Source organism: Homo sapiens, chromosome 21 (genome assembly GCF_000001405.40).
Source record: "Homo sapiens chromosome 21, GRCh38.p14 Primary Assembly".
Classification (NCBI taxonomy): domain Eukaryota; kingdom Metazoa; phylum Chordata; class Mammalia; order Primates; family Hominidae; genus Homo; species Homo sapiens.
This window is the reverse complement of record NC_000021.9, coordinates 40,510,156-40,523,572: the sequence shown is the minus strand read 5'-3', so window position 1 is coordinate 40,523,572 and position 13,417 is coordinate 40,510,156. Positions and strand designations below refer to the sequence as shown.

Sequence of the window (13,417 nt, the reverse complement as noted above, 5' to 3'; positions counted from 1 at the left end):
AGTGGTAAGGTGGTTTTCCCCTGGAGTTGGGCCGCTCAGCCACCAGGGCTCTCCTCCCTCTGCCTCCCCGAAACTCTGCGGCATTCACCGGTCAATGGCCTGCTGGCCTGCTGGCTTCTGTCGGTGTGCTCTTAGGCCGGTGCATTCCTCCCGAAGTCCAGCCACTTGTGTCTTTTTCCACTGATGTGTTCCTCTCAACATCCAGCTGCTTGTGTGCGTGCCCGCTAGAGTCTCGGGGTTTTTATAGGCACAGGATGGGGGCATGGCAGGCCAGGGTGGTCTTGGGAATTGCAATATTTGGGCACAAAAACAGAAATGTCTGCCTTCACCTAGGTCCGTGGGCACAGGCCTGGGAGTAGAGCCCTAGTCAGGGACCACAACCTCCTCTACCCAACACTTCCCTGCCCGCTTCTGTATCACTATTCCTTCATTAATTAGAAAGTATGCATTTTTTAAAATTATGAAGTGTCTAGGTGTCTGCCAGCATTACTCAATAGGAAACTCCAATAGAGGAGTAAAGTTATTTCTCCAAGGTCAACAAAATTAATAAATACAAAGCCTTCATCACCAGAGCCGTGGTGAAGAGCTCTTTGCACTATGTGTAAGCGAAACATGAAATCAACAATTTATTTACCTTCAGTGTAAATTGTTCATTGAATGTCATTATGTTGTCGATTATTGATTCCTACCGCATGTGACAATTACATGTGCTTCTGCCTTCCCTGCCCTGAGTACCAGGCTGCTTTCAACTCTGGGCAGCAAGGTGGCAAGATAGAGTTGATGGAGTTGCGAATGGAAACAGGAAGATTTGGCATCTGAATCTCGAAAACTCTTGACGAAAATTCTCTTTAGATACAGAGATTTGATAACTTCTTAAAGCGAAGTTTGTTTTGCTCATGACGATCACACCTATCAGCTGATCAATTCTGTTTCCCTTTCAAGGAAAAAAATATGTATCCTGCATCAGCAAGGATTCATGAACTAAAGGACTCACAGAGTAGAACTCTCCACTTTTGAAACTGAGGAGCCAAGGCCCAAAGAGAAAACGTGACCTAGATTTAGTCATTATTTATTGTTTTAAAGGGGGGACAATCAAATTAATGAAGGCAGTTAAAAATACATTGCATTCTTATTAAATACATTTTGTAGGATTTATGCCTGATGATCATGAACATCAAATCTGACTTTCCTGTTGAGCAAAATGAACTATAATCAAGTGGAACGAATTGCTTTGCTATTATCCCTTGTTGTGGATTTGTGTCAGCACATGGTAACTGAGCTGAAATGGGCTTTGTTTGCTTAGCTCTTCTCCTAAGGAGAACAACACCATTTACTCTGAGTTTGTACTGGGTTTCTGTCTACTAACTGCTTATATTGGCCTTACTTTAATAAAGATTTCTATCTCACTCCTTAATACGGCACATGCCAATGGGAAACACATACCTTATGCCTAGCTTTGTTCTATAGCAGAGTTTCTCAACCTCAACCCATTGACATTTTGGGCAAAATAATTCTTTTTCTCGGGGAGGGAGTGGCGAACTGTCCTATGCATTTTTAAATATATTTTTTAAAAAGTTTAATTGACACACAATTATTGTACCTATTTATGGGGCACAACGTAATGTTTTGAAACGTGTATACGTTGTTTAATGATCAAATCAGGATAATTAGCATATCCATCACCTCAGACATTTATCATTTCTTTCTGGGGAACATACAAAATCCTCTATGACAGCTATTTTGAGATGTGCGTACCTTGTTGTTGACTGTAGTTGCCAGACTGTGCAACAGAACGCCAGCACTTCTCCTTTCTCATCGTTAACTTTGTACCCATTGACCCTCCACTCCCCATCTCCCTATTCCTACTCCTTACCCCATTCTATTCACTATTTTTATAAGATTGACTTTAGATTTCACATATGAGTGAAAACGTGGTATTTGAGGGGTTAATATTCAGAATACATAAGGAACTCAAACAGGTCAACAGCAAAAAGACAGCAAAAAAAATTAAAAAGAAGATATACAAATGGACAACAGGTATATGAAAACATTCTCAGCATCACTAATCATCAGATAAATGCAAATCCAAACCACAATGAGGTATCACCTCACTTCAGTTAGAATGGCTATTATCCAAAAGACATAATAAGATAACAAGGGTTGCTGAGGATGTGGAGAAAGGAAACCCTTACACACTGTGGGTGGGAATAAAAATTAGTAAAGCCATTACGGAAAAAAGTATAGCGGTTTCTCAAAAAACTAAAAGTGGACCTACCATATGATCCAGTACTTTCACTCCTGAGTGTACATCCAAAGGAAATGTCCTGTGTATTTTAAGATGTTTAGCATTATCCCTGGCCTCCACCCACTAGATGTCAGTACCACCCACCCTCTCACTCCCAGTTGTGACAACAAAGAATGTCTCCAGGCATTACCAAATGTCATCAGAAGGTCAAAAATGACCCCGGTTGAGAAACACTGTTCTACATACAGTAGGGATTCTTGAATTATTGTAAAACACAGAAAGAGTGCTTTTAAGTTGTTTGAAATTTTATTTTATTAGAATCTATGAAAGTATTTTTAAATTTTTAGCAATACATAATATTTGTACATACTTACAGGGTACATGTGATATTTTTAAGCAAACAAGCAAAGGCCATTTAAGCTCAATTCTCATGTGCTAACTCAAATACAATGATTTGCAATTCCTTATATACACACTACATCACACTACATATATTTTCTATTTATTTATTTATTTTTAGAGAGAGAGAGTCTTGTTCTGTCACCCAGGCTGGAGTGCAGTGGCACAATCTCGGCTCACTGCAACCTCCACCTTCCAGGTTCAAGCGATTCTCCTGCCTCAGCCTCCTGAGTAGCTGGGACTACAGGCACACACCACCATGCCCGGCTAATTTTTTTATTTTTAATAGAGATGGGGTTTCACCATGTTGGCCAGGCTGGTCTCGAACTCCTGATCTCGTGATCTGCCCGCCTCGGCCTCCCAAAGTGCTGGGATTACAGGTGTGAGCCACCGTGCCCGGCCACACACTACATAACTTTTCATCCATTCTCACGTTAGTGTTTGTGTTTTATTTCCTCCTCAAGAATCTATAAAATATAAAAATATTTAATGCATTTAAATTGTTGACAGCAATCTTTGATTTTGAAATACTTTCATGAAAAGCATATTTTCTGGAAGATAATAGCATTGCATTGAATCCTGCTCCTCTTAACTGACTTGCTATAATTATTGCAGAGAATTATTTTCTCTTGAAGAAAGATGGTATTTAAAGTAAGGTATAACTACTGACCTGTGTGCCTCTAGAATGAGAGCAAGTAAGTATACCACCAAAATTCAACTGGAAGTTTGTAGTTTTATGGCTCCTAGAATTTATTCTAGGAGCAATTTATTCCACTATTGCAAGCTAATCTACTTCACATATAATTTAGGGCAAATGAATTATGTCATTAAGGAAACATATTCATTTAGAGTTGTTAAATGCCTTCTAATAGATGCAAGATCTGAAATAATATAAATATGTGCTTATATTAAGAGTCAGGGGCAACAAATTTTAGAGTCTAGAATGTTATAAGAAGGAAGGTCATGTGTTTTATGATTTGATTTAAACTACCCTAGTGATTCAAGTTACCTAGAACCAATAATCAACAGGGTATTTTATATGTGTATGGACACACACACACACGCATACACACACACAGAGAGAGAGAGAGAGTGAGAGAGACAGAGACTTAAAGAAATTGGCCCACACAATTGTCGAGCTGGCATGTCTGTAATCTGTAGGGCAAAGCAAGAGGCTGGAAGCTCAAGAATGATTTCTATTTTTATGTTATGGTCTTGAGTCACAATTTCTCCTCTGGGTGTCTTAGTCTATTTGGGCTGTCACAGCAAAAATACCATAAACTGGGTGGCTTGTAAACAATAGAAATTTCTTCCTCACACTACTGGAGGCTGAAAAATCCAAGAATAAGGCACCAGCACATCCAGTATCTGTTGAGGACCCACTCCCTGGTTCATAGACAGCGCCTTCTTGCTTTATCCTCAGATGGCCAAAGGGGCAAGGGGTCTCTCTCAGGTGTCTTTTAAGAGTGCACAATACCGTTCATGAGGGCTCTCAAATCCCCACCTCCTAATACCATTACCTTGTGGGTAAGAATTTCAACACAAATTTTGGGCAGATACAATAATTCAGACCATAGCACTGAGACTTTTTTTCATAAGGTTCTCAATTGACTGGATTGTAGATGTTAACCATATCTACAAAACACCTTCACAGCAATACCCAGATTCGTGTTTGATGAAATAACTGGGTATTATTACAGCCTAGCCAAGCTCACACATAACACTCACCGTCATATATTTACACATGCCTAGGAAGAGTAAAATAAAGGGCTATCTGGACATTTTCTTGAATTACCAGATTCATAAATACAGTTATGTACCACATAGTGACATTTCAGTCAACATCGGACTACATGTATGACAGTAGTCCCATAAGATTATAATACCGCATTTTATTGTACCACTTTTATGCTTGGTATATTTAGAAATGAAGTACTTAACATTATGTTCCAATTACCTACAATATTTATGCAGTAACATGCTGTATGGGTTAGTAGCTTAGGAGCAATAGGCTACACAGTAAAGCCTAGGTGTGTAGTAGGTTATGCCATCTAGGTTTGCATTAAGCACACTCTGTGGTGTTTGCATGATAATGAAATTGCCTAATGACATACTTATCAGAACATATCCCACTGTTAAGCCATGCACAGTTGTATCATGATGGATGGATGTTCTTCCTATAACTCAATGAAGTAAAATTTTAAGGTTTTAGGTGGTGTGTGTGTATATATATATACATATATATACATACACACACATACACATATATATACACATATATACATGTATATATGTGTGTGTATGTATATATATGTGTGTGTATGTATATATGTGTGTGTGTATATGTGTGTGTATGTATATATGTGTGTGTGTATATGTGTGTGTACATATATATATATAAAATATATATTATATATATTATATATATAATATATAATATATATATAAAATATATATTATATATATTATATATAATATATAATATATATAATTTATATAATATATATAATATATATAATATATATTACATAATATATATAATATATTATATATATATTATATATATATATGGGCAAACTGCATTGAAAATATGTGCAGATGGTCTGCGAGGCTCTTTGACAGACTGGCTGCCACATGTCAGCAGATGACTGGGCTTGTGCCTCACCCAGCAAGACAGGACGCATCTCAGGCCTTCAGGGTCTCTTGCAAATGGTCAGAACTCAAGGGTCCATTGGAATGCACACACAGATTCCTATTGAATTGGAATATCGGCTATTCACTCTGTGTTTAGGAATACTCAGTATCGAGGTTCACTAATACCCATCATGGAGGTTCTATGTGCCCTCCTTGGTCCCCTGTGTCCCTGGACCCAAGGTGTGCCCACCCTCTGCATGAAGCACCCATGTCTCTGTGAACCAAGAGTCTGCAGAGGCCAGAAAAGCATGGGACCCAGAGGTTGGCATTTGGGCTAAAGCTCATACTCAGAGCCATGTGCAGGGCCAAACAGGTGATGAAAAATGAGAGCACTGGGCTGGACCCAGGCTGAACTCAGGAACAGGCAGCAGCAACAAATTTCCAGTAATGAGAGTCTGCCAGGGACACAGCACTGTCACTTTCCTCCTGCCACCTCAAGAGTTAAGCCTAGGGACAGCTGCAGGTCTCAGTGCCCACAGCAGCACCCCAGAACTACATTCCAAAGAGGGGATCAGAGAGGAAGCACTTTGGTTTTTTACACAGCTCCTATTTATGTGTTCTTATGACATGCACTGTCCTGTTTTCATGGTTTTGTTGAAGTTCCAGGTAGAATGGGCTAAATGCACATTAAGACTGAAAACAGAATGTTAAATGGCATCATAGACATATTAGAAAAGGAGGGCTTAGAGATTACCTGAGTCAACCTTGTGTGAAAACTGAGAAAAATGAGACCCTAACAATGTTATATGGTAGGCTGCAAAGGCTGGCTTTGGGTCCCAGAAGAAAATATGCGTGTCTGTGTGTGTGTGTGTGTGTGTGTGTGTGTGTGTTGCTTGTGTGTGTGTATAGATGTGTGTATGTGGGTATATGTGTGTGTGTATATATATATGTATATACAGAGAGAGTATATAAGGTGAATATGTACATTTGCATTTATATATAAATATATAAATACACAAATATAAATATATAAGGTATATATATACACACATAAGGTGTGTGTGTGGATGCATATATATGTGTGCATATATATGTATATGCAGAGAGAGCGTATATGAGGTGAATAGGTACATTTGTATTTATATGTAAATATATAAGGTATATATATATACACATAAGGTATGTGTGGGGGTATATATGTGAGTGCATATATATGTAACATATGTATATATATACACAGAGTATATAAGGTATATATATATATACATATGTTAGTATGTAAGGTATATATATGGTGTATATATATGTATATATATAATATATGTATATTTACAGAGAGTAAGGTGAATATGTATATATAAATATATAAGGTATATGTGTGTGTGTGTATATATATATATATATATGGTGTGTGTGTGCGCATGTGTGTGTATCCGGATTTGCTACTGTCTAATGAATAAACAAGATCCAGATTTGAAACACAATAGTGTATATGAATGTTATCAGAAAAAGCCCATCAAATTTCTCCCACACTGGGGCACTGCAGAGTCCTTCCCTTCTCGAATGTTCTCCCTGGCACTTGTGTTTCTCTCCTTCCTGACCTCTGCCTAGTCGCAGATAGAGATGCATTTTGACAGAACCGGGAAGAGTTGTTCTATTTCCATGGCAACGTCAATTCACATTCTGCAGGTACATTGGCCGCCACTGCCTAAATGAAGGCTCCTCAAGGCTCTGTGTGTTGCCGTGCCTGGCCAAAAATAACTGGGCATGCCACCGTTCCTCACAGCCCCATGGAGAGAGGCATTAAACTGACTGGATGCCAACTGTCAACTCTGTTCCTGTCTTCCTGCTAAAGAGGAAGAAACAGGAACTGCCAGTGTTTTGGGGGAGGGGAGCCAGGGAGGCTGCTACATTGTTTCCATGGTCTGAGAAACATCGCATTTCCTCTGTTGAATGGAACATGAAATACATTCTTACTTGTTCACCCCAGGGGCACCAGATAATTTGTATTTCAGCAGAAGTATTATAATTACATAGTTTAGAGTTAGAATTAATTAGCATTTGGGGAAGTAGTGATAAAACCAAGCAGTTATTAAAAAAATTAATTTTAATAGAGGTCAGTTTGGAGAGAGTGCTTGGTTTTCTTTTGAAAGATTTGTGTGTGTGTGTGTGTATGGTGGGGGAGATAAAAGAATAAAATTATTAAATGATCCTTTAATCAGTCTGAAATGTGAACTACCTTATCATTAGACGCTACCACTGGATGTTAAAATCCAAATTAGTGGCACACATGCAGAACATATTTCAAAATTAGTCAAGAGTTAGGTGAATCTTTGAGGGTTATCTATGAAAAAAAAAGAAAGTTTTGTAGAGTCCTTTAAAAAGTATATCATGTTCCCAAGAATGTGGGTCATAACAACCTTCTTGACGTTAAACATAGTCAAGAATGATTTCATGTATTATACTAGACACATGAGATACTTCATAATAATTAAATATTGTTTGAAGAATAATTTTTGAAATCAGTTAACATTGCCTACGAGTGCGCTGAGTGTGAAGCTCTCCTGGGAGGGCTTGTGCACCCGGGAATAAAGTTGAATCTTTGCCCTCATGAGGCTTTTACTTTGTTTTGAGTGAGGAGTCAGAAAAGACTGCAATTTTTAAGAGTATTTTTACCTTCAATTGGAGTTTTACAACACTCCTCTAAGTTCTTAAAATCAAAGACCATCACAGTTAAATTTTAATTTTTTTCTGAAATTGATCACCGTTCCGTGGTTGTATAAAAGACTGTCCTTGTTCTCAGAAGATAATGTTGAAACCTTTGGGGAGAAAGAGACATCATGTATGCAGTTTACTCTCCAATTGTTCAGCAGTAACAATAAGTGTTTTCATTAGAATGAGAGAAAGGGAAAGCAGTGGAGAAAATGAGGCAACTTGTTATCAAGTGGTGAGTGGAAGTGGAAGGTATGCTACAGTTACTGTACTATTCGTATAACTGTTCCTTCGTTTATATATTTTTTTCAAAACAATAAGTTAATGTAGTCTATAGCTTTAGGCAAAAACTCTTTTTCAAGGAAAAGGAGCAGTGTGCAAAAGTTATTTTTATTTTTTCTTAAATGAATTCGCAGTCTTTTTGAAAATCTGGAACGTCAACACTTGTAAATGTATACTTCTTTAGTTTTCAGATTATAGTAGGAATTACCCTACTAATATTCTGAAATAAGAAGTAGCCTTTACTGATGTACCAATATTTTTAAGCAGTGCCAGTTTCTAAGTAATCTTTTCTTAACTTCGCTTCTGAAAATTTGAAAAATGTCCTTTCGTCACAAGCTATAGGCTGCATTAGTTTAGCTTTTCCTTTTCCTTCCAAGACAACACCCTTGCCGCAGTTTGGGGCCAGAATGATCAGCTGACCCATTCCACATCTTTATACTCTAAATCAAAGTTGTTCCCTTTAAAGAGCTCATTGGAGAGGAATATGTGGGATTTGATAAGCTCCGTTGATGGTTTAATAATTATGAATGTTTAACAGACATTATACATTTATCCCACATTTACTAGTATAAGAGCGAAAATAAGGAATGAAAGCAAATTGTTCTGCAGGGTCCATTTGTGCATGCTATTATGCCCCATAAAGAAAAAAAATCTTTCATAAAGGATCGTTAGTTTTTTCATCTTATTTACACCATTAGATGTTGCTGCAGAACATTAGAATATGCACTGGTGCAACGTGAATAGTCTGTCTGCTATTTATTGCATAATCCATTTTATGCAATGTCAAAAAGGAAAACAACCAAAAATACAGGGTTTATTTTAAATTAGGAGTTAAGCTCTGACTTTCTGATGTGCTAAGTTGAAGCCTGGAGCATTTTCTCGCTAATCCAGTGTGAGTTTCTAACAGTGAGCCCTGTTTTAAGAGGAAAAAGGGTGATGTAGTCCAATTAATAAGATGGCCTTGTTCATTTTCCCTGGGATGATGAAGCATTGGATGGCTCCCTGGCTCAGTGAAAACAGGGTGGAAAAACGTTGATCCAGGAATTGTAAATTGAGCATGCAGGGCTCTGCAACAGCTTTCCTATACTTCTTTGGGAATAAGGAGTAGGGTTCACCATACCTGTCCAGTTTTCTTTGCACTTGCCACTGTTTCTCTTAAATTGTTTTGGGAGGTTGCTTTCATTTTGGCACATTTTTGACGAAAAATGTGTGCCTTCAAGTTCATGCCCAGGTTGTCTGTCCTGATCACACAAATGGCCTTGGAGGTTCCTTATGAATTCTGTATGCAATCTGTCACTGCATTGCTTATGTAGCAGTTTTGAGTGCAAAGCCTTGAAAATTAATGAAGTGCCTTTCTGTTTTCTGTCCCAATCTGTGATCTGGTGCCTGGAGGGTATTTTGACTATTTTTGACTTCACTTGTTTTTGTTGTTGTTGTTGTTGTTACATACAGTTTTTTTATTTTTAAATTCTCTCTCTAATATGTTATTTTGCTTTTATTCTGTCCATTCATTCAACACCATGTTGACATAGTTTGGATATTTGTCCCTACAAATCTCATATTGAAATTTGGCCCCTAATGTTGAAGGTGGGGCATAGTGGAAGGTGTTTGGGTCATGGGGAAAGATTCCTCATGTATAGCTTGGTGCCGTCCCTGTGATAATGAGCGAGTTCTTTTTCTACTAGTTTATGCAAGAGCTGGCTATTTAAGAGAGCCTGACACTTCCTGCCATCACTCTTGCTCCTTCTCTGGTTGGGTGACCCACCTGCTCCCTTTTCACCTTCCACCATGATTTGAAGCTCCCTGAGGCACTCACCAGAAGCAGATGTTGGTGCCATGCTTCTTGTACAACCTACAGAACCATAAGCCAAATCAATCTTTTCTTTGTAAATTATCCAGCCTCATGTATTCCCTTACAGCAGCACCAAACAGACTAAGACATATATGCATAGTTGTGTTCTTAGATTTTGTTGTTGTTGTTCCCAAGATAGATTTTCCTTTCTTTTTTTCTTTTCTGTTCTCCATGTCTCTTCATTCATATTACAGATGAGGCACAGGACCTGGGCTGAAGTATGTACGGGGTAGGTAGGTTATGTTCTCTCCTCTTTCTATGCAGTCGATGTAAGAATCCCAGCACTTTGGGAGGCCAAGGCGGGCGGATTACCCGAGGTCGGGAGTTCAAGACCAGCCTGACCAACATGGAGAAACACCGTCTCTACTAAAAATACAACAAATTAGCAGGGCGTGGTGGCACGTGCCTGTAATACCAGCTACACGGGAGGCTGAGGTAGGAGAATCGCTTGAATACGGGAGGCGGAGGTTGCGGTGAGCAGAGATTGCACCATTGCACTCCAGCCTGGGCAACAAGAGTGAAACTCTGTCTCAAAAAATAAATAAATAAATAAAAATAAAAATTAGTGGAGGAAATGGGCAAGCGTCGAAGCTGAGAATTTTCTATGGTCCCTTCCCTCCCCTGCAGTTCTGGGAATGGCCACTAGGGACGCAGTTGTGCCGTTAATGGGTCTCGGGGGAGGCCTTGCCCAGGTGTGAACGAGGGAGGTCAGAGCACTGTTACTCTTATGGCGCATAACTATACAGTACTATAACTTTACTATGATAACTTCACTGAGCAACGGTACAAATCGACAAATGGACAACAGTTTCTATCATTGATTAATCAAATAATCAGAAGTCAATAATCTGCTAAGAATATTCTGACCTCTACTGGCCCTTGGCAATAGATGGAGACAGAACAATGCCGCAAACGTGAAGACAGCCTCCCACTCTCTCCTCTCCCACTTCTCCTACAGGCTTTGAGGATCACCACGTTTCGCTCCTTCATTCACATGTCTCTGACATTTTAGAGTCCAGAACATCACAAGATACCCATAATTTCCAATGACGTGAAGTAATAGAGATAAGATTTAGTAGGAGAGTAAACCTACCTCTGTCCTTGCTGTTGTATCCCCAGTGTGCAGTGGGGTGACTTCCCAGAGTAGGTGTGAAGTCAGTGTTTGTGGAATAACAGATATGAAAGAAAATAGACTCAGTTTTGTAAGAAAGAACAAGGTTCACTCAGGATAAGATGGGCAAGGGAATTTCTTCTTATGTGTAATCGCTGAATCATGCATAATTGGAAGGGAAAGATCACTGCTACGTTAATTTCCTCCTGCAAACACACACACTCTCTTCTTGCAAAACAGTGTAACCTATCTCCCTTGCCTTTCTCATTGGAGAAAGCTTTTTGCATGCAAGTGTTTCCCCCAAAAGCAAGACCTCAAATAGAATACTTTTTTTTTTTTTTTTTTTTGAGACAGAGTCTCACTCTGTCGCCCAGGCTGGAGTGCAGTGGCGCGATCTCGGCTCACTGCAAGCTCCAGCTCCCGGATTCGCGCCATTCTCCTGCCTCAGCCTCCCTAGTAGCTGGGACTACAGGCGCCTGCCACCACGCCCGGCTAATTTTTTGTATTTTTAATAGAGACGGGGTTTCACTGGGTTAGCCAGAATGGTCTCGATCTCCTGACCTCATGATCCACCCGCCTCGGCCTCCCAAAGTGCTGGGATTACAGGCGTGAGCCACCGCGCCCGGCCGAGAATACTTTTTGTAGGTTGGTGAAAGAGTGACTTATGTATAGGCAGAGGTGCAAAGAGAGTGTTTTACTGGAAGTGCAGGGTTGTAACTTTACTCTATAAAGAATTATAAAATTTGTAGACTCATGAATATTAGAACTGAAAACAACATTAGTGATTCTAGTTTCATCTTTTCCATGTTTGTAGTCAAGGAAACCTTTTCTTTGGAGAAATGATAAAGTTAACCACAATCACATTCATTTTGAATATTTTTGTTATTAAGTAACATATGCTAAATTTATGACATTTGTTTTCAATAAGAGCTGTGACATGGATACTCTAATCAAGAAATTAATGTAATAACTTACATTAAGCTGAATTTCTTGTATTTAAAATTTTATCTATATGTGAATATATTTTTAATGTCACTTTTTATCAGCCCTGTTAACTTGAGGGCTGTGGCAAAATTCCTATTTCTTTATCTATAAAATAAGGATAGTATCATATCTGTTCTGCTTTCCTCTTTTCTCAAAAGTAACTGAGAAAATGTGAAAGCATTTTATGAACTATAAAGCAACATACCATGAAGAGAATTAAACAAATGAATATAATTTTATTATTCTCCCAAATAAATCCAACCTTTATTATTAACACATATGTGAACAGTGCAAAAACAAGTCTGATACATTTTTTAAAGGTCAGGAATTTTGTAGAATTTTTAAACTATAAAAGAAACATGACATGATTTTCTCAAACATAAATTTCTTGCTTTTATTCTAATACGTAAATAAGCACAATACTGATAACCTATGGGTCAGATCTGGCAGGCTTCCAAATTAACCCATCTGGCAGAAGTCTTGTGATTCATGGCAACATGCGGTCCCTGGGTAGGGTCTTATCAGGAGTTCTCCAATTGTTGGCATACTGTTTACTATGTAACTTACAGACACTGAAAAGGATCCTGATTTGTTTCAGAATGGGAAGAAAGTCTGGCTGATGGTCTTGCACATGGACACTTTAACCTGTATGTTGCCATCTGTAGCCAATGATTGTAACTTCTGTAATGTACCCTCCAATGAAAAAGGACAGCTCTGGTGTGAGGAGTTCTCTTCCTTCTAAACTTTCTTATAGAGGCCTTCCAACTCCTAGCTGACTCTGGAACACACCCAACTTCTGTTGACTTCCTGAGTCAATCTTCACATTTAGTTTTCAATAAACCTTTGTCAATCGTCACGTTTGATTTCGAACAAATGTTTATCAAACCATTATCAAACCTCAACAGTCTTAATTTTGGTCAACAATACTAACATTTTGAGCAACTTATTATTTAAAAATTGATGTATATTAATTCCTAAAAGGTGGACTTATTACAATGTAACAACCAGTCATATCTAAAATGCCACTAGAAAATTCCTCATAAAAATGCTATCTCTGTTGAATTAATAAATTTTCCCTTCAATTTCATAGTCTTTTTTTTAGAAGCCTAGCCTATATAGTGTTTATTTCTATATTGGACCTGGCTATACTCATTAGTGATTTTATAGTGCTTTCTTTGTTATTTATTTTAGAGTGCTT

The 13,417-nt window shown here is 38.4% G+C and overlaps 1 protein-coding gene and 1 non-coding gene across 4 annotated transcripts in view; one reads left to right on the top strand and one right to left on the bottom strand.

The window, feature by feature from the left end:
- Nucleotides 1–13,417, top strand: part of DSCAM (DS cell adhesion molecule) — an 836,160-nt gene that overhangs the window by 323,586 nt on the left and 499,157 nt on the right. The window lies entirely within an intron of this gene.
- On the bottom strand, nucleotides 10,294–10,429 carry LOC124900473 (small nucleolar RNA SNORA51). The gene has a single exon (XR_007067946.1). It is a non-coding gene; the product is annotated as a small nucleolar RNA SNORA51 (small nucleolar RNA).